This window comes from Homo sapiens, chromosome 15 (genome assembly GCF_000001405.40).
Source record: "Homo sapiens chromosome 15, GRCh38.p14 Primary Assembly".
Classification (NCBI taxonomy): Eukaryota; Metazoa; Chordata; class Mammalia; order Primates; family Hominidae; genus Homo; species Homo sapiens.
This window is the reverse complement of record NC_000015.10, coordinates 68,247,545-68,268,011: the sequence shown is the minus strand read 5'-3', so window position 1 is coordinate 68,268,011 and position 20,467 is coordinate 68,247,545. Positions and strand designations below refer to the sequence as shown.

Below are 20,467 nucleotides of genomic sequence, written 5' to 3'. Positions count from 1 at the left end.
CATGAAAACCTCTCACACAAGATATTTATGCCTTTCACCTTCTGCCAATGCAATGCAGGTGGATGCGACCATCTTGGAAGCCATGTTAAAGAAGGCAGAGCCACAAGATAGATGCAGCCGGGTTCTCTAAATCACCACTGGGGAGAAACCCACACACCAATGAGGAATACCCATTTTTTGGATTTTAAGAGCAAGAAATAAACTTCAATTGTGTTCAGCATTATGTGCTTTGGGGTTTGTTTATTACAGCAACTAGTGTTACTGCAACTAATACATAGTACACTATGAAAATACAATGCTGGAGAAAGAAGTGATGGAATAGATATGCATAAAACACCATTGATAGGCCTCACAAACATAGGGTTAAGTGCAGAAGTACAGAAACAGAATGAAATTTATAACTAGATTCTATTTATTAAATAGCATATGCACACAATATAATAATACATGTTTTCTGAGGATACATGCATATTTAAGGATGTATAACAAATGCTTTAGAATGGGTATGTATGGGCCAGGTGCGGTGGCTCATGCCTGTAATCCCAGCACTTTGAGAAGCCAAGGCAGATGGATTACCAGAGGTTGGGAGTTCGAGACCAGTCTGGCCAACATGCTGAAACCCCATCTCTACTACAAATACAGAAAATTAGCTGGGTGCAGTGGTGGGCATCTGTAATTCCAACTAATTGGGATGCTGAGGCAGGAGAATCACTTGAACCTGGGAGCCCGAGGCTGCAGTAAGCCATGATCGTACCACTGCACTCCAGCCTGGGAGACAGAGTAAGACTCCATCTCAAAAAAAAAAAAAAAAAAAAAGAATGGGTATGTACGGTAGGAATCAGAGAAGAAGGGAGAAAAAAGAAAAATTTCAAGAGAGTAATTGTACTAACCTGTGAGGACAATAAACTATGAAGTGAGAAGTGCAATTAATTACTTTTCTACACCTGATGACCTGAGTACAATTTTGAAAAATACAACAAATAATTTAAGAATTTAATAGAACCAGCAAACAAGTGTATGAAAAAAATCTGAACATTTTTAGGAATCAAACAAATATAAATCCATATAACAATAAGATATCAGTTGCAATAGCAAATTAGCAAGTATTTTTTAAAATATTAATATCCAGTGTTATGGAGAGTTGGTAAAATAGGACTCCTCATATTTGGCTGAAAGGTGTGCAAATTGGTAAAATTATTTAGGAAAGCAGTTGATTGCTTCTTGGCCTTTTGGCTAAGATCAAGTGTAGGAAAGCAATTGATAATATTTATGAAGGTTCTAGAAAGGTTTATACCTTTTGTCTTAGAGATTCAATTTCTTGGAATCTAGCTAATGATATAACCTCAACAATCTCAATAATAGAACCATCAAAATAGTTTTTATAAAGATTGTATAATGGGAAAGTTATTGTGATGCACTATTAAGTTTTTAAAAGCAAAAAATAAAAGCAAATATTATAAATAATAATTAATATACATTTGGCTACAAATATGTAAAAATAAACAAACCCACATCCAGGAGCATAAGATTTATGCCCTACCCACAGTAAAGTCACAGTATAGAAAGAACAGACAGCAAAAATAGGTCTCCACTTTTATGAGACAGGAGATTTCAGGCTAAGAAGTTGGTCTTGTTGAATGAGGACTAAGACCACTTGAGTCAACATGACACAAGTCTCCTAGGAAATTCTTGCCCAGGAAGACAAGGTGGTAAACCAACAAATACATTTATTGTTTGCTTCAAGAAATTAACATATTGGGGAAAACAGTTTGCTCATTTGGCCAAAGAACTCTCCTGTCAGGATAACAGACTGCTCAAATAGGCAAAAAGCTCACGTATATGACAGTTTATTTATCAAGGCTTGCATGGAGACTTTTATTTCTCTGTGTCTACTAATCCTAACTCTCCTAAATATTACAAACTGTGCTTAATTCCTATCAGTTTCTTTCTTTGTAAGACCATCTTAAACCATTTGAGCCCAGACCCCCAAATCCTATAAACATCCTTTCTTGAAATCTCCCTCTGACATACTACTAATTCTCTATCGAGGTAGTGTTCTTCCTTTCTGCAGTAAGGCTAATACAACTTATGCCCTACCCGCTTACTTTAAAAGTAAGTACTAAAATAAGTACTCAGACTTACTTTGCTTGATCAACAGGTTTTTCTGTTACCCAGGAGGCGGAGGTTGCAGTGAGCCAGGATCACACCACTGCACTCCAGCCTGGGGGACCCTGTCTCAAAAAAAATTAGATTAAATTAAAATTTTAAAGACCTAAGTAAACAGAGGGATAGATAACATTTATACTTTGGAAAACACAATATTGTAAAAATGTCAGTTCTTCCCAAATTATTCGTTAGGTTCAATGCAATGTCACTCAAAATCCTTTTTTTTTTTCTTTTGGTAGAAGTAAAAAAGCTCAGTAGAATTTATATGGAAATTACAAAGGATGAAGAACAGCAAAGACAATCTTGAGAAGGAAGAAGAACATGGAGGATACACACTATTGAGAGAAAACATTTATTTTATATACAATTTGTTTATATAATATATAATAATGTAAATATTTATTTTATACGTGTGTGTGTGTTGTGTATCTCACAAAGGACTCGGATCCAAAATATATAAAAACTCCTACAAATCACTATGAAAATGACTGCCAAGGGGGAAAATGAACAAAAGACTTGTGCAATCACTTTACCAAAGAGTATATTCAAATGCTCAATAAGCATATTTTTAAAAAAGAGTTTAGTATTATTAGTCATCAGGGAAGTACACATTAAGACAGCTCGGAGATACCGATATCCACTTGCTGGAGTGTCTAACTTTAAAACACTGATCATAACAATTCTCATACATTGCTGGTGGGAATATAAATTGATTCAGCTACTTTGGAAAACTGGTGCCCACCAGTGAAAAAGATACATACTCTATTATCCAGCAATTCTTCTCCTATGTATATACCCAACAGAAATGAGTGCATATGTATGCCAAAAAGCATATACTAGAGTGTTTATAGCAGCCCTGTTGGTAATAGTCAAAAACTGGAAAAACTCAAATGTCCATGAGCAGTAGAATGGATAAATTGTGGTTATATTCATACATCAGAATGTTCTACTATTACGTATTTTTATACACCAAAAAGAGAATGAATGCCCTTTACATGCAACAACATGATGAATGTCCAAACATCATGTTGAGCAGAATAAGCCAGACACAAAAGAGTCACTACTTTACTGATTGCATTGATAGAAAGTTCAAAAGAAGGCAAGAGAGTTTACCTTTTGCAGCGAGTATTAACTGGTTGACTGGAAGGCAACAAGGAAGAAGCTTCTTGCATTCTGGAAATGTTTTCTGTTTTTGTTTTTGTTTTTGTTTTGTTTTGTTTTTAAAGACCGGATCTCTCTCTATCACCTAGGCTGGAATGCAGTGGCATGTTCATAGCTCACTGCAACCTCAAACTCCTGGGCTCAAGTGATCCTACAGCCTCAACCTCCCAAGTAGCTGGGATTACAGGTAAACACCACTACACCCAGCTCTATTCTTTCCCCCGGCCCCTGCAGACACCACAGTGATTTACAGCTCTATTCTTGACTTAGGGTGTTGGTTCCATGGGGATAACTCATTGCTGAAATCCATCAAGTTTGGTATACTTAATGTTTATGCACTTTACTATATGTAAGTTATACTTCAACAAAAATGTTTACCAAAAAATCCAATAAGTAAACCTTTTCTTTCATATTTAGGGATGTTCACTTACTGATCATTCATTGTGCTGTGCATTTTCCACCCACATGCAATACTTGAATAATTAAATTTCTTTTTAAAATATACCTTTCCGTTGATCCTGCTAGCTAGTGGCCTTTTTCCCCTCTTTTTTTAAATATCAAAATTCCTTAAGAGAGCTGTCTGGACTCATTGTTTCCAATTACTCTCCTCTCAGTCACTCCCTTTTTTGGAAGTGAATTTTTTTTTTTTTTTTGGAAAGGTTCAAACATATACAAAAGAAGAGAAAATTGTAGAGTGCACATCACCCAGATTCGACAATCATAAACTCATAGTCATGATTCATCCATACCCCATCCCACACACACTCCCATTCTATTATTTTGAAGCAAATCCCAGACATTGTATTATTTCATTAATAATTATTTTAGTCTATATCTTTCAATAATATATAACCAAAATATCATCATATCTAAGCAAAATATCTTCCAAAATATCTATTCAGTGTTCCAAAATACCATCATTATATCTAAAAAATTAACAATAATTCCTTAATATTTGTAAATATTCAATCAGGGTTCAAATTTCTGTCTCATAAATGATAGCTTGTGCTATACATTTTTTTTTAAATCTATCATATTGTCAAAGATCAAAAAGTTTGAAAACATACAGTGTTGGTCAAACTGTGTAAAGTGATTCAACCTCTATGGAGAGCAATTTGGTAATATTTATTAAATTATAAAATGCACATTTCCTTTGACCTAACAATTTTACTTTTAAAAAATTTGTCCTATAGATACATTCATACATGTGAAAAGTGGGGGGTATGGGGTGAGGTGGTACATGCCTGTAATCCCAGCACTTTGAGATCACTCTAGCTCATGAATTTGAGACCAGCCTGAGCAACATGATGAAATGCCATCTCTACAAAACATAAAAAATTAGTCAGGCATGATGGCTAATAGGATTGCTTGAGCCTGGGAGGCAAAGGTTGCAGTGAGCCAAGATCGTGCCATTGCATTCCAACCTGAACGACAGAGCCAGACCCTATCTCAAAAAAAAAAAAAAAAAAAATTAAAACTTTTTTCAACCATTTAAAAATGAAGAATTATTCTTAACTTGCAGGTCAGACAAAAACAAATGATGGACCAGATCTGGCCCCTGGGTTGTAGTTTGCTAATCCCTGATTTAGCGTAAGTACTCACAAGATATTTGTAAAGTAAAAGAAAACAAAAGATAGGAAACCACCGACATTTCTATCAAAAGATGATAAACAAATGTTAAAACTTTGAAACAAAGGAACATTGAATAGTTATGTAAAAGAATGGGTTAGTTCTGCTTTGGTAGTGAAAGGGAGGAATCTCCATACTGAGAGCTGGGGGAACAAAAGAGAAAAAAAAACAGTAGGTATATGATACTACAATATTTTACAATTATATGAAAATATTATTAAACTAAATACAAATATATGTGTTCATAGATGCACAGAATTTGTCAGTACAAATATAGAACAAATTGATAGCAGGAGTGACTTCTGGGGAGAGAAATTAAGTGCTAGAAGACAGGGATGTGAGGAAGACTCAAGGTTTTTTGCTGTTTTCGTTGTTTTTTTTTTTAATATATGTATAGGCAGCAATATTTTATTGAATGGTACTGCTCCTTGCAGACCAGTGCTAACTCATAGGCAGTGAACCCCAAGTCAGCCTCTCAGTTTTTACTCTACATTCTTGTGTACCCCTTTTCTGGCTTCTTTTTGTAGTACAATGCATATAACATAAAACTTACCATTGTAATCATTAGAAGTATACCATTCAGTGACATTCAGTACATTTACAATGTTATGTCATTATCATAATGATCTAGCTTCGGAATGTTTTCATCATCCCAAACAGAAACCCTGTACCCATAAAGCAGTCACTCCTCTGTCCCCCAGCCACTGGAAACTACTAATCTGCTTTATGTCTCTATGATTTGCCTATTCTGGATATTGCATATAAATGGAATCATACATTGTGTGGTCTTTTGTGTCTGGCTTCCTTCATTTAGCATAATATTTTCAAGGTTTTTAAGGTTCATCCATGTATCCTGCATCGGTACTTCATTACTTTTGATAGCTAAATAATATTCCATTGTATGGCTATACCACACTTTGTTGATCCATTCATCTATTGATGAACATTTGGGTTGTTTCTACCTCTTAGCTATTGCAAATAAAGTTGCTATGAACATTTGTGTATACTTCTTGCTTGAGCTCGTTATTATTTGTGTTATATACCACAGAGCAGCGTTGGTAGGTCACATGGGAATTTTATGTTTAACTTGTGGAAAGCGGCTGGGCATGGTGGCTCACGCCTATAATTCCAGCACTTTGGGAGGCCAAGGCGGGTGGATCGCTTGAGGTCGGGAGTTCAAGACCAGTCTGGCCAACATGGTGAAACCCCCCTCTCTACTAAAAATACAAAAATTAGCCAGACGTGGTAGCACACATCTGTAATCCCAGTTACTTGGGAGGCTGAGGCAGGAGAATCACTTGAATCTGGGAGGTGGAGGTTGCAATGAGCCGAGATCGTGCCACTGCACTCCAGCCTGGGCAACAGAGCAAGACTCCGTCTCAAAAAAAAAAAAAAAAAAACCTTGTGGAAAGCCACCAAACTGTTTGCTATAGATGTATGCCTTTTAAATTGTATATAGAAGCCCCCCTTATCCTTGGGGGATATGTTTCAAAATCCCCGGTGGATGCTTGAAGCCTCGGATAGTACTGAACCCTATGTATAGTATGTTTGTTCATCTCAAAACAAAGATGGCTACCAAACCTCAAACAGCCTGGTAGCATATACGGCATGGATACTCTGGACAAAGGGATGATTCACACCCCAGACAGAGAGCAGGGCAGTAAGATATTTCCTCATCCTACTCAGAATGGCACAAAATTTAAACTTATGAATTTTTATTTCTGGAACTTTCCATTTAATATTTTCAGATGGCAGTTGACTGCAGGTAACCAAAACCACAGAAAGTGAAATCACAGAGAATGGGGGACTACTGTACTGTGTGCATGTCCTACCTATTCAAGAATAAATTTTAGAATATCTCTCTTTGAATTTTAGAACAATCTTTCTTTGAAGATTAAGGCCAGGTGTGGTGGCTCCCGCCTGTAATCCCAACACTTTAGGAGGCCGAGGCAGGAGGGTTGCTTGAGCCCTGAAGTTGGAGAGTGGCCTGGGCAACATGGCAAAACCCCATCTCTATAAAAAATACAAAAAATTAGCTAGGTATGGTGGCATGTGCCTGTAGTCCCAGCTACTTGGGAAGCTGAGGTGGGAGGATCGCTTGAACCCAGGAGGTCGAGGTTGCAGTGAGCCATGATCACACCACTGTACTCCAGCCTGGGCGACAGAGTGAGATCCTGCCTCAAAAAAAAAAAAAAAAAAAAAAAAAAAAAAAAGATTAAAAAGTAAATTAAATGGGGATATACAAGTTTATGACCTTTACAATCTAGTTTACAATCTAGTATGGGGTCTAACATTACTATGCTATTGTATGCTATGTCTCTGTATCTGACTCCATGGGATATAATATATACAATTAATTTAATCATATTTCACTAAAGAAGTTAACTGATGATTATGTAGTTGACATGTAATAAAGTTATAGAATGAAAATTTCTTGAAAAACAGTACAGGGGCCGGGTGCAGTGGCTCACGCCTGTAATCCCAGCACTTTGGGAGGCCGAGGCAGGCAGATCACAAGGTCAGGAGCTCGAGACCATCCTGCCAAACACGGTGAAACCCCATCTCTACTAAAAATACAAAAAAATTAGCTGGGCGTGGTGGCGGGTGCCTGTGGTCCCAGTTACTCGGGAGGCTGAGCCAGGAGAAGGGCGTGAACCCAGAAGGCAGAGCTTGCAGTAAGCCGAGATCGTGCCACTGCACTCCAGCCTGGGTGACAGAGCAAGACTCTGTCTCAAAAAAAAAAAAAAAAAAGTACAAATGCTCCTCAACTTAGGATGGGACTATGTTCCAATAAACCCATTGTAAGTTGAAAATGTGCAAGTTGAAAATGCATTTAATACACCTAACCTACTGAACATCACAGCTTAGCCTAGCCTACCTTAACCATGCTCAGAATACTGATATTAGCCTACAGTTGAGCACAATCATCTGGCAACACAGTCCACTGTAGAGTATCAGGTGTCTACCCTCATGATCAAGTGGCTGCCTGGGAGCTGCGGCTCGCTAATGCTGCCCAGCATGGGCACATATGCCAGTATCATAGCCTGGGAAAAGAGCAGAATTTAAAAGCTGAAGTACAGTTTCTACTGAATGTGTATTGCTTTTGTACCATTATAAAGTGGAAAAATCCCAAGTCAAGCCATCATAAGTCAGGCACCATCTGTATTTATCAGCCACGCTTATGCCACATGAAACAAGCCTTATTTTAGGAAAAAAAAAACGCATTAGGAGATAACACAGCATAGTGGTTGCATGCTCTGGCTTGACCTGGATTCAAATCTGGATTCTACCACTTCCTGCTTGTGTGACTTCATGCTTATATTTTAACTACCTTGACTCTATTTCCTCAATGATTATATAATGTCATGGGGAGCAAGTATTTTATAATCCATGCAAAACACTGTACTCAATAGATGTTTAAAAGTTTTTTTTTGTGGGGGCCGAGCATGGTGGCTCTTGCCTGTAATCCCAACACTTTGGGAGACCGAGGCAGGTGGATAGCTTGAACTCAGGAGTTTGAGATCAGCCTAGGCAAAATGGCAAAACCCTGCCTCTAAAAAAGATACAACAACAACAAAAAAAACTAGCTGGGGATGGTGGTAAGCACCTGTAGTCCCAGCTACCCAAGAGGCTGAGGTGAGAGGGTGACCTGAGCCCTGGAGGGCAAGGCTGCACTGAGCCATTACCCTCCAATTGGGCAACAGACTGAGACACTGTCTTAAAAAAAAAAAAGTTTTTTAAGCAGTAGTCACCTCATGTATAGTGACCAGGCTATCATAATTCTGGAGAATCTAATGATTTGACAAAGTTGCCCCTCTCCTTCCTATTATCTCAGTAACTGAGATTCTTGGAGACAGTAGTCAGATTTGCAGAAACTAACATATCTCCCGGGAGGAGAAAGATTGAGATATACTTTCTTTCCTTTTAAAGTTTGTGGTAGATTGAAAAAATTGCCACAAATTTTCTCCATCTATGTACATGAGCCCCTTTACAATGTAACTTTGTAGCTTCTTTCATCAAGAGATGAAATCTATTTCTCCACCCTTTGAGGCTGAGCTTGGCCCTGTGACTTGTGCCGGGGTAGTATGACTTTAAAGCAGAGGTATGAAGAGCTCTTGCACACTGGGGCTTCCCCTGTTGTTGCTCTTTGGAGACAGCAAAGTGAGGCACACTCAGGGCTGCCTAGTGGAGCCTGAGAGACCGCACAGAGCAGAGAGTTGGGCTTTACTAGAGTTGGCCAGATGGGTATTGTGAATGGAGACGGGGCAAGGGAGTTCAGGGTGTATCCACAGGAATGACCAAAATAGTTGACAATGAAATTTAAGCCGGGAAAGAAGGGAAGCCAGGATATATATGATATATATATATATCATATATATCTATATCTCATATATATCATATATATCTCATATATCATATATGAGATAGATCTCATATATATCATATATATCATATATGAGATAGATCTCATATATATGATATACATATATGTATATAATATATGTGAGATATATGTATATACATATCATATATATCTCATATATATCATATATCATATATAGATCCCATATATATCATATATAGATCTCATATATATCATATATATCATCATCATATATCTATATATCATATATATCATATATATCATATGTATCATATATATCTCATATATCATATATACATCTCATATATATATCATATATATACATCTCATATATATCATATATATACATCTCATATATATATCATATATACACATCTCATATATATCATATATACATCTCATATATATATAATATATATACATCTCATATATATCATATATACATCTCATATATATCATATATATACATCTCATATATATCATATATATACATCTCATATATATCATATATACGTCTCATATATATCATATATACACATCTCATATATATATCATATATACACATCTCATATATATCATATATACATCTCATATATATATCATATATACACATCTCATATATATCATATATACATCTCATATATATCATATATAGATCTCATATATATATCATATATCTCATATATCTATCATATATATATCTCATATATCTATCATATATATATCTCATATATCATATATATCTCATATATCTATCATATATCTCATATATCTATCATATATATCTCATATCTATCATATATATCTCATATATATATCATATCTCATATATATCTCATATATATCTCATATATATCTCCTCATATATATATCTCATATATATCATATATATATCTCATATATATCATATATATATATGAGATGAAGGCCAGAGAAAAGGTGGTAAGATCTATTAATTGTAGGTCCTATTGGAATCAAAAGATTGCTGGACTTGTGGTGCTGGACAACCCAAAAGTAGTGGTCAGAGCCTGGAATGCTTGAAATTTAGATTATGGAAGCAGGACTGGCTACATAATTTGTGGACCCGGTGCAAAATGAGGATGCCTTATTCAAAAGGCAAGTAAAAGCTTTTACCTTGCTTCTAGCCTTCTCTCTCTGGACTTTTTGTGCTTTTTATATGCTACTTATGAAAATTTCTAAATAAAGAAAAAATACAATTTTAAATTATTAGCACGAATTTTACCATTTATGTTCATATTGTGCAATGTGGAATCACCGAGTTACACAATTCGTATGTTACGGCTTGTCCCCAGAGGGTGCTCTGACTAGCCAGAAGAGACAAACAGCGCAACAAAGACTCAGGAAGCTTGCAAGCAGGAAAACAAGATCCTCCCTCCCTCACGCCGCCCCTCCCCCAAGCTCGGAGCCAGAGGCGGGCGCGCTCCCTCGGGCACGCGGGTACTCTGGGGCTGGCGCAAGCCCTCAGCGACGCCGGGCGCGTGCGTTCCGCTGCCTCCAGCCCCTGGGCACCGCTGCCGTGCGCTCGCTGGCGGGGAGAGGCCTGCAGAAGTCAGGCCAGGTGTCTCTCTTTCCCTTGGGCCCGCGGCCCAACCGCATGGCACCAGGCAGCCCCCAGCGGTATTGCGACCTCTGCGTCAGTCGCGCTCAGTCCCTAGATACAGGTGTGCCGGAGAAGCCCAGGGAAGGGATGCGTGACCATCACTACACCCTGCCCCACGACGCGGTGGGACGCGCACCCTGACCCTCCCCAGAGCCGCGCCCAGGACCTTGCCTGGGCGGAAAATGGCAGCCGTTGCCGGGAAGGAGCGGCGAGCGAGAGGCAGGCCCCGGCCAGAGACACTGGGAGCCATCCCTAGGAGGGAGGGAGGCGAGGCGGGCTTGAGCCGAGCCTTCAAGCCACTGGCGCAGGCGCCATTGTCCTGTGAGACTTCGCTGAGAAAACTCAAATTCAAAGGTAAAAAGTAAGTTTCAAGGCAATGAGAGCAGCGCATTAAACCAAGGGCGAAGCCCTTCTGAACGTGGGGCCCTGTGCGACTGCACTGCCCACACCCCTGAAGCCAGCCACGTGTGTGGGGATCCCAAAGAGAGTATTGTAATAACAAATACTGTGATACAGGAGTGCTATAACACAAGTATTGTATTGGTAATAACGGCTAGAGCAGTGCTGCCCAACAGAAATACAGTGCGAGCCACATATGTAATTTTACATTTTCTAGTAACCACATTTAAAAAAGGGAAAAATGGCCGGGCATGGTGGCTCACACCTGTAATCCTAGCACTTTGGGAGGCAGAGGCAGGCGGATCACTTGAGGTCAGGAGTTCTCAACCAGCCTGGCCAACATAGTGAAACCCCGCCTCTACTAAAAATACAAAAAAATTAGCTGGGCATGGTGGCGCGTGGCTGTAATCTTAGCTATTTGGGAGGCTGAGGCAAGAGAATCGCTTGAACCTGGGAGGCAGAGGTTGCAGTGAGCCGAGATGGCGCCACTGCACTCCAGCTTGGGAGACAGAGCAAGACTCCGTCTCAAAAAAATAATAATAATAAAATAAAAAGAGGGGAAAGGCTGGGGGCGGTGACTCATGCCTGTAATTCTAGCACTTTGGGAGGTCGAAGAAGGAGGATCACTTCGGGCGAGGAGTTGGACAACAGACAGGGCAACATAGTGGGACCCTGTCTGTACAAAAATTAATTAGCCAGGCATGGTGGCCCGCACCTGTAGTCCCAGCTACTGGGGAGGCTGAGGCAGGAGGATCTTTTAAAACTGATAAGTTGAGGTTTCAGTGAGTGGTGACTGCAACACTGCATTCCAGCCTTGGTGACAGAGGGAGACCCTGACTCCAAACAAGAAAGAAAAAGTAAAAAGAAACAGGTGAAATGAATTGAAGTATTTCATTTAACCAAACATATACAAAATATTGTTTCTTTTATTTTCCCAAGCCAAACTGTATCCAGCTTTATTAAAGATACTCTCCATAAACAATCATGGCATTTCAGGCAGGGCATGGGCAAACAATAGTTAACATATGCAGTGACTTTCAAACTCCCTTCTTCAAAGGACTACCAAAAATCAGAAAGCCACTATAAAACCCAAATGAAGTCCTCATCTGATGCTCTGAACAGGGAAAGTTTAGAGTGAGGTTGATAGTTCATGTTTAGCATGTTGTTTAACAATGTTTCATGAGCTGACCCTGACTTTCAGGAAGTGAAATGAAAATGGCAGAATTTATCTGAAGATCCACAATCTAGAAACAGAACCACTGCTTTTTTGAGGGGTTCCATCTCAGTGGCATCACTGGAAAGGCTAGATTGCCTGACACACCAGTAACCAATTATTGGGGGGGGTCAGGTCCAACAGGTGTCTGGGTTTAAGGGAGTTAAATCTATGCTGAAAGGTGGAAAGGGAGAAGAGGACATAGAAAGGAATTTGTTTTTCCGTCCCACGAGGCTTTTGTGCCAAGGGACCTTGTGTGTCAAAGTCAGGGAATCCCCCTTCCTGGGAGCCAAGGGCAAGTCTCCCAAAACTAGAAGGGAAAAGGGTTTTCCCCACATCAACCTAGCTTCGGAGACATTCTGTTAGTGACATATGCCCCTTTCCCAAAAAACACAGTGAAGTGTTCTGTGTGCTAACAACATAGCTTAAAAAAAAGGTAAAACAAAATTCTGCATTTTTGTAAAACTTGATAAAAAATAGCATTTCAAACTGTACAGTCACCAGAAGTACACAGTTATCAAAAATGCACACACTTCACTTGGCATCTGCAGCACCTTCAGCTTTCTGTGTCTGGTCTGTTTGGGCATCTCCATTTTCTGCAGGGTTATTCCCCTCCTTGCCAGCTTCAGCTTTTCCCTTTTCCCTTTTGGTACCTTCTCTCCCTTCTTTGCAGGGGCCTTTTTAGGTTTGGGCTCTGGCTTTGGAGGAGCAGGTTTAGCAGAAAACCTCGTGGATCTTCTCTGTGGTTTGTCCTTCATCTTGGTTTTATCTCCTTTAGCATCACCTTCAGCCTTTCTCCTGGGCACGGTGGTGGCGGCAACGGCGGCGGGACATAGGCGCTGGGAGCGTGGCTTTGATCTGTCCTGGGGTCGTTCTCACCTCTTTTTCACACTGCTCAAAATATTATCATTTCAACATGTAATCAACATTAAAATTTATTAAGAGACATTTGACCTTTTTTCATACTAAGTCTTCAAACTCCAGTGTGTATTTCATACTTACAGCACATCTTATTTCAAGTGCTCCCTTGCCACGTGTGTCTAGTGCTATGGTAGCAGACAGGGCAAGTCTAGAGAGTGAAGCTGCAAGTGGGTGGCTCACCACCATCCAACTTAAGAACGAGAACATTACCTGCTCATGCATCCACCTGTATGCTCCCTATGCCCCTTTCGTATCGTGCTCTCTCTCCTCACCAGAGATAATACTGGCTTGAATTTCATGTCGACCATTTTCTTGATTTTTAAAAAAATATGTAGTTTTGGCCGGGCGCGGTGGCTCACGCCTGTAATCCCAGCACTTTGGGAGGCCGAGACGGGCGGATCACGAGGTCAGGAGATCGAGACCATCCTGGCTAACACGGTGAAACCCCATCTCTACTAAAAATACAAAAAAAATTAGCCGGGCGCGGTGGTGGGCGCCTGTAGTCCCAGCTGCTCGGGAGGCTGAGGCAGGAGATTGGCGTGAACCCGGGAGGCGGAGCTTGCAGTGAGCCACTGCAAGCGGAGTTTGCGCCACTGCACTCCAGCCTGGGCGACAGAGCGAGACTCTGTCTCAAAAAAAAAAAAAAATGTAGTTTTATCATAGGCATAGGTATTACCAAAGAAGATATTGTTTAGTTTACTTGAGATTTATAGAAGTTAGACTTTATGCTGTTTGTGTGTCGCCACTGGTGGCATAATATCGGCGGCTAAAAAAGAAGTATCTGCCGACATTTGTGTCACTGTCACATCAATCACATCATGTGAACAAGCTATTTGGCACCAGACTTTCTGTGAGTGATTTTGATGACTATTGCATTGCTATTTTAACATTGATTGTTACTAAATTTTAAGTATTACTTTATATATTGCAATAGTGTCATCAGACATTATTAAACAGTGGTTCTAATGCTAGTGGTGAAAAACACAGCTCCAAAATGTTAGACATAAAAGTGCAAGTTAGATGTGTCAATTGCCATGAGGGACTGTCCTCCCGCTCCATGTTATTAATTTAGGAATGAATGCCTTGGGAAATATTGGAACATTCTGAGAAATAAAACTCAGCATTCAAACAGAAACACTTCTAAGTTTGCAAAAATAGTTACATAACCAGGCAGAAAGAAAGGAAAAATAAAAACAAAAAACCCGGTCACGTGGCTGCAAGATCCATGCCACAGTGATGTACGCCTGAGATGCTGTGGTTGTGCATTTAAACACTCTGAGCACATCAAGCCCTATTTTATATGTATCCGCATGGGGAAATTAGAATGCTGCTAGAAAGCTATTAGGTACATGTCCATTTACACCAGCCTTTCCCATTCAGGATTTATTTCACTAAGGTGCTAGCCTGCCATGTAGTGGCGAAAGAGGGAAACTACAGCTCTCTTAAAAACTATAGTATTTGATACATCAAAAGAACAAATGCAACATGAAATGAAGACTTAGAAACTCGCCATTCAACTTAAGAACTAGAACACTGCCTATTCATGCATCCACCTGTATTCCCCTTTCCTGTCTTGCTCTACCTCCTCACCAGAGGTAATACTAGCTTGAGTTTCAGATTGACTATATTCTTGATTTTTAAAAATATGTAGTTTTATCATAGGCATAGATATAACTAAACAAGATATTGTTTAGTTTACTTGTTTGAGCTTTATGCAAGTTTGACTTTATTTAGTTTTCCACAGTTTGCCTTTTTCATACATTATATTTGACCAGGTTGATGTGTGTAGCTATAGTACATGCACTCTGTGAATATATCACTATTTTTCCATTTTCCTATCAGTAGACATTTGGTAGACCCCAATTTTTGGTAAATAGTACTGCACTGAATATTGTTATGCTTGTGCAAGAACTTCCCTGCAATATATCCAGTTCAATTTTACAAAATATTGCCAAAGTGTTTTTCAAGATTGTACCAATTTACACAATATTGGTGGTATAAAAGAGGTTCCACTGATACATATCTTCACCAGTACTTGCTACTAAATTTGTTAATTTTTGCCAATAGAGTTGGAATAAAATGCTTATTGTGGCATTTATTTATATTTACCTGATTGTCAATGAGGTTGAGCATCTTTTCATGTTTGTTGGTAATTTATGCTTCCTTTTTTGGTAAAGTGCCTATTCATGTATTTTGCTCATCTTCCTACTGGTTTGTCTTTTTCTTATTTTAAGATTCACACAAGACCGGGTGTGGTGGCTCACGCCTGTAATCCCAGCACTTTGGGAGGGCAAGATGGGTGGATAACCTGAGGTTGGGAGTTCAAAACGAGCCAGACCAACATGGAGAAACACTATCTCTACTAAAAATACAAAATTAGCTGGGCGTGGTGGTGCCTGCCTGTACATCCCAGCTACTCGGGAGGCTGAGGCAGGAGAATCGCTTGAACCCGGAAGGCGGAGGTTGCGGTGAGCCGAGATCACGCCACTGCACTCTAGCCTGGGCGACAGACCAAGACTCCGTCTCAAAAAAAAAAAAAAAAAAAAAAAAGATTCACACATACACACACACACATACACACGCACATGCTAGATCTTTTTGTCAGTTCTACATGTCACAAATACCTTCTTCCAGTTTTGCATTTTTGCAGTTAACAACCTTGCTGGACTCTCTTATTAATTCTAATAATTTGTCTGAACATTCTTTTGAGGTTTTCTATATATGCAATTATATTACCTACAAATAATGACAGTACTGTTTTCTGTCTTACCCTTCACCTTATTGACTAGAAGGGGTGATAGCAGACATCTTTGCCTTATTCTGTTTGTTTGTTTGTTTGTTTTGAGACAGTGTCTCACTGTGTCACCCAGGCTGGAGTGCAGTGGGGCGATCTTGGTTCACTGCAACCTCCAACCCCCAGGCTCAAGCGATTCTTCTGCCTCAGCCTCCCAAGTAGCTGGGATTACAGGTGTGCACCACCATATCCAGCTAATTTTTGTATTTTCTGTAGAGAAGGGGTTTTGCCATGTTGCTCAGCCTGGTCTCGACCTCCTGAGCTCAATCCATCCACCCGCCTCTGCCTCCCAAAGTGCTGGGATTACAGGTGTGAGCCACTGCGCCTGACCTTGTCTTAGTCTGCTCTTAATGGAACAATGTTTACAGTGATCTACCATTAAGAATGATGAAGATTATAGGCTTTTTAAAAATAACCTTTAACAATAGGAAGTTTCATTTTATTTCGGCTTTACTAAGAGCTTTTGTCATAAATGGATGTTAACTTTTACTGAATGCCTTTACTATATCTATTGAGATAATTATATAACTTTTCTCCTTTAATCCATTTAATGTGATGGACTAAAGTTATGGATTTGATGTTAGAGTATAAGAATGATTTACATTCTTATACTCTTTGGATAAATCCAGCTTAGCCATCATAAATTGTCTTTATTACATAATGTTGGATTCAGTTTCTTAATATTTTGTTTATAGTATTTACATCCATGTTCATCAGAGATTCTGGTCTGTTATTTCCTTTCTCATACAGTCCTTGATTAGTTTTATATTAAGTTTATACTAACCTCATACAGAGTTAAGAAGTATGCTTCTTTTGATATTCTTTGTAAGAGTTAGTATAAAATTAGAATACAAATACAGTCCCCAACTTATGATTTTTTTACTTTATGGTGATTTGAAAGTAGTTCACATTCAATAGAAACTGTACTTCAAAGCCTGAATTTTAATCTTTTCCTATCTGTAGGCTAACGTGAGTGTTTTGGGCATGTTTAAGTTAGGCTAGGATAAGCTATGATGTTTGGTATCATTTGCTCCATGAAAATCTGCTACGAATTGCGTGAAAACTATCTAGGCTTGATTTTTTTTTTTTTTTTTTTTTTGAGACAGAGTCTCGCTCTGTCGCCCAGGCTGGAGTGCAGTGGTGCGATCTTGGCTCTCTGCAACCTTCGCCTCCCGGATTCAAGCGATTCTCTTGCCTCAGCCTTCCGAGTAGCTGGGACTACAGGCATGCGCCACTAAGCCCAGCTAATTTTTGTATTTTTAGTAGAGACGGGGTTTCACCATGTTGGTTAACCAGAATGGTCTTGATCTCTTGACCTCTTGATCCGCCTGCCTTAGCCTCCCAAAGTGCTGGGATTATAGGCATGAGCCACCGTGACCAGCTGGCTTGATTTTTTTTTTTAAGCCACTGATTCAATTTATCCCATAGCTATTGGACTACTTGGGCTTTCTTTTCTTCAGTAGGAATTTAATTTTTTTATTTTTCATTGATATATAATAGATGTACATATTTTCAGGGTACATGTGATAATTTGGTACATTTGTATAATCAAATCAGGGCCATTGGGATAGCTGTCACCTTAAATATTTATCTTTTCTTTATGCTAGGAACGTTTGAATTATTCTCTTCTAGTTATTTTGAAATGTCCAATAGTGGCCGGCGCAGTGACTCACGCCTCTAATCCCAGCACTTTGGGAGGCCAAGGTGGGTGGATCACGAGGTCAGGAGTTCGAGATCGGCCTGACCAACATGGTGAAACCCCGTCTCTACTAAAAATACAAAAATTAGCCAGGCCTGATGGTTCGCACCTGTAATCCCAGCTACTCGGGAGGCTGAGACAGGAGAATCGCTTGAACCCGGGAGGCAGAGGTTGCAGGAGCCGAGATCACGCCATTGCACTCCAGCCTGGGCAACAGAGTGAGGCTCCGTCACATACACAAAAAAATAATAAGAAATGTCCAATAGATTAATGTTAACTACAGTCACCTTATCGAATATCAGGTCTTCTTTCTTCTACCTAACTGTGTATTTGTACCCATTAATCAACCTCTCCATCCCCTCACCCACCCTTACTGTCAATCTACTCTCTATCTTCATGAGATTCACTTTTTAGCTCCCATATGTGAGTGAGAACATGAGATATATTTGTCTTTCTGTGCTTGGCTTCATTCAACATAATGATCTCCAGTTCTATCTATGTTGCTACAATGACAGAGTTTCATTCTTTTTCATGGCTGAACAGTATTCCATTGTATATCTATACCACATTTTCTTTATCCATACATTCAGTTGATGGGCACTTAGGTTGATTCCATATTTTGGTTATTGTGAATAGTGCTGCAGCAAACATGGGAATGCGAATTTCTCTTCAATATATCAATTTCCTCTCTTTTGGATATATACCCAGTGGTGGAATTGCTGGATCATATGGTAGTTCTATTTTTAGCTTTTTGAGGAACCTCCGTATTGCTTTGCATAGCAGCTGTGGTAATTTACATTCCCACCAACAGTGTTTGAGAGTTCCCCTTTCTCCACATCCTTACCAGCCTCTGTTATTCCTTCTTTTTGATAAAAGTCATTCGAACTAGGCTAGATAATGTTTCATTGTAGCTTTGATTTGCATTTTCCTGATGATTAGTGATGTTGAGCATTTTAAAAAATACCTGTCAGCCATTTGTATGTTTTTATCACAAATGTCAATTCAGATCTTTTGCCCATTTTTTAATTGAATTTTTTTGTTGTTGTTGTTTTTTGTTGTTGTTGGTTTTGCTATTGAGTTCTTTGAGTTCCTTGTATATTCTGGTTATTAATCCCCCTTGTCATATGGATAGTTTGCAAATATTCTCTCCTATTCTTTGGGCTATCTCCTCTTAGTTGATTGTTTCCTTTACTGTGCAGAAGATTTTTAGCTTGATGTAATCCCGTTTGTCTATTTTTGGTTTTGTTGTCTGTGCCTTTGAGGTCTTACACAAAAAAATCTTTGCCCTGACCAATGTCCTGGAGCATTTCCCCAAGGTTTTCTTCTAGTGGTTTCGTAGTTTTAGGTCTTAGATTTTTTTTTTTTTTTTTTTGAGACGGAGTCTCACTCTGTAGCCCAGGCTGGAGTGCAGTGGCACAATCTCGGCTCACTGCAAGCTCCGCCTCCCAGGTTAATGCCATTCTCCTGCCTCAGCCTCCCAAGTAGCTGGGACTACAGGCACCCGCCACCACGCCCGGCTAATTTTTTGTATTTTTCTTTTTAGTGGAGACGGGGTTTCACCGTGTTAGCCAGGATGGTCTCAATCTCCTGACCTCGTTATCCGCCCACCTCGGCCTCCGAAGATGCTGGGATTACAGGCATGAGCCACCGCACCCGGCCTAGGTCTTAGATGTAAGTCTTTGATTTATTTTGATTTGATTTTTGTGTATGGTGAGAGATAGCAGTATAGTTCATTCTTCTGCATATGGTTATTTCATTTTCACAGCACTATTTATTGAAAAGACTATCCTTTCCCATTGTATATTCTTGGCACATTTGTTGAAAATGAATTGGCTGCAAATGCATTTATTTATATCTGGATTCTCTGTTCTGTTCCATTAGTCTATGTGTCTGTTTTTATGTCAGTAACATGCTAGTTTGGTTCCTATAGCTTTGTAGTATATTTTGAAGTCAGTTAGTGTGATGCTTCCAGATTTGTTCTTTTTTTTTTTTTTTTGAGACTGAGTTTCACTGTTAGTGCCCAGGCTGGAGTGCAATGGCACGATCTCAGCTCACTGCAACCTCCACCTCCCAGGTTCAAGTGATTCTCCTGCCTCAGCCTCCCAAGTAGCTAGGATTACAGGCATGTGCCACCACACCCAGCTAATTTTGTATTTTTAGTAGAGATGGGGTTTTGCCATGTTGGCTGGGCTGGTTTTGAACTCCTGACCTCAGGTGACCCACCCAGCTCAGCCTCCCAAAGTGCTCAGATTACAGGCATGAGCCACCATGCCTGACCCAGGTTTGTTCGTTTTGCTTAGGATTGCTTTCACTATTCTGGGTCTTTTGTGGTTCCATATGAATTTTAGGATTGTTTTTTCTATTTCTGTTGAGAACATCATTGGTATTTTGATAGCAATTGCATTAAATCTGTAATCTGCTTTGGGTGGAATTATCACTTTAACAACTAACTATTCCAGTCCATGAACATGGAATAGCTT

The 20,467-nt window shown here is 39.5% G+C and overlaps 1 protein-coding gene and 2 pseudogenes across 1 annotated transcript in view, besides 1 other annotated feature; 2 read left to right on the top strand and 1 right to left on the bottom strand.

Annotated features, from left to right (window-relative positions):
- Positions 1-1,213: 1,213 nt before the first annotated feature.
- On the top strand, positions 1,214-1,334 carry LOC124903593 (uncharacterized; annotated as a pseudogene).
- Positions 10,494-11,141: an enhancer, noted in NCBI's record as "H3K27ac hESC enhancer chr15:68549209-68549856 (GRCh37/hg19 assembly coordinates)". NCBI's record gives its function as "activates a minimal SCP1, AML or CMV promoter by ChIP-STARR-seq in naive H9 embryonic stem cells {active_cell/tissue: H9 hESC(naive)}" and the evidence as "EXISTENCE:reporter gene assay evidence [ECO:0000049][PMID:30033119]".
- CLN6 (CLN6 transmembrane ER protein) overlaps positions 10,801-20,467 on the top strand; it is a 50,220-nt gene continuing 40,553 nt past the window's right edge. The window contains exon 1 of the mRNA NM_001411068.1: positions 10,801-11,322. Within this exon, the coding sequence (NP_001397997.1) occupies positions 11,144-11,322 (179 nt within the window). The 5' untranslated portion in view covers positions 10,801-11,143. The remainder of the gene's footprint in view (positions 11,323-20,467) is intronic.
- On the bottom strand, positions 12,911-13,470 carry HMGN2P40 (high mobility group nucleosomal binding domain 2 pseudogene 40; annotated as a pseudogene).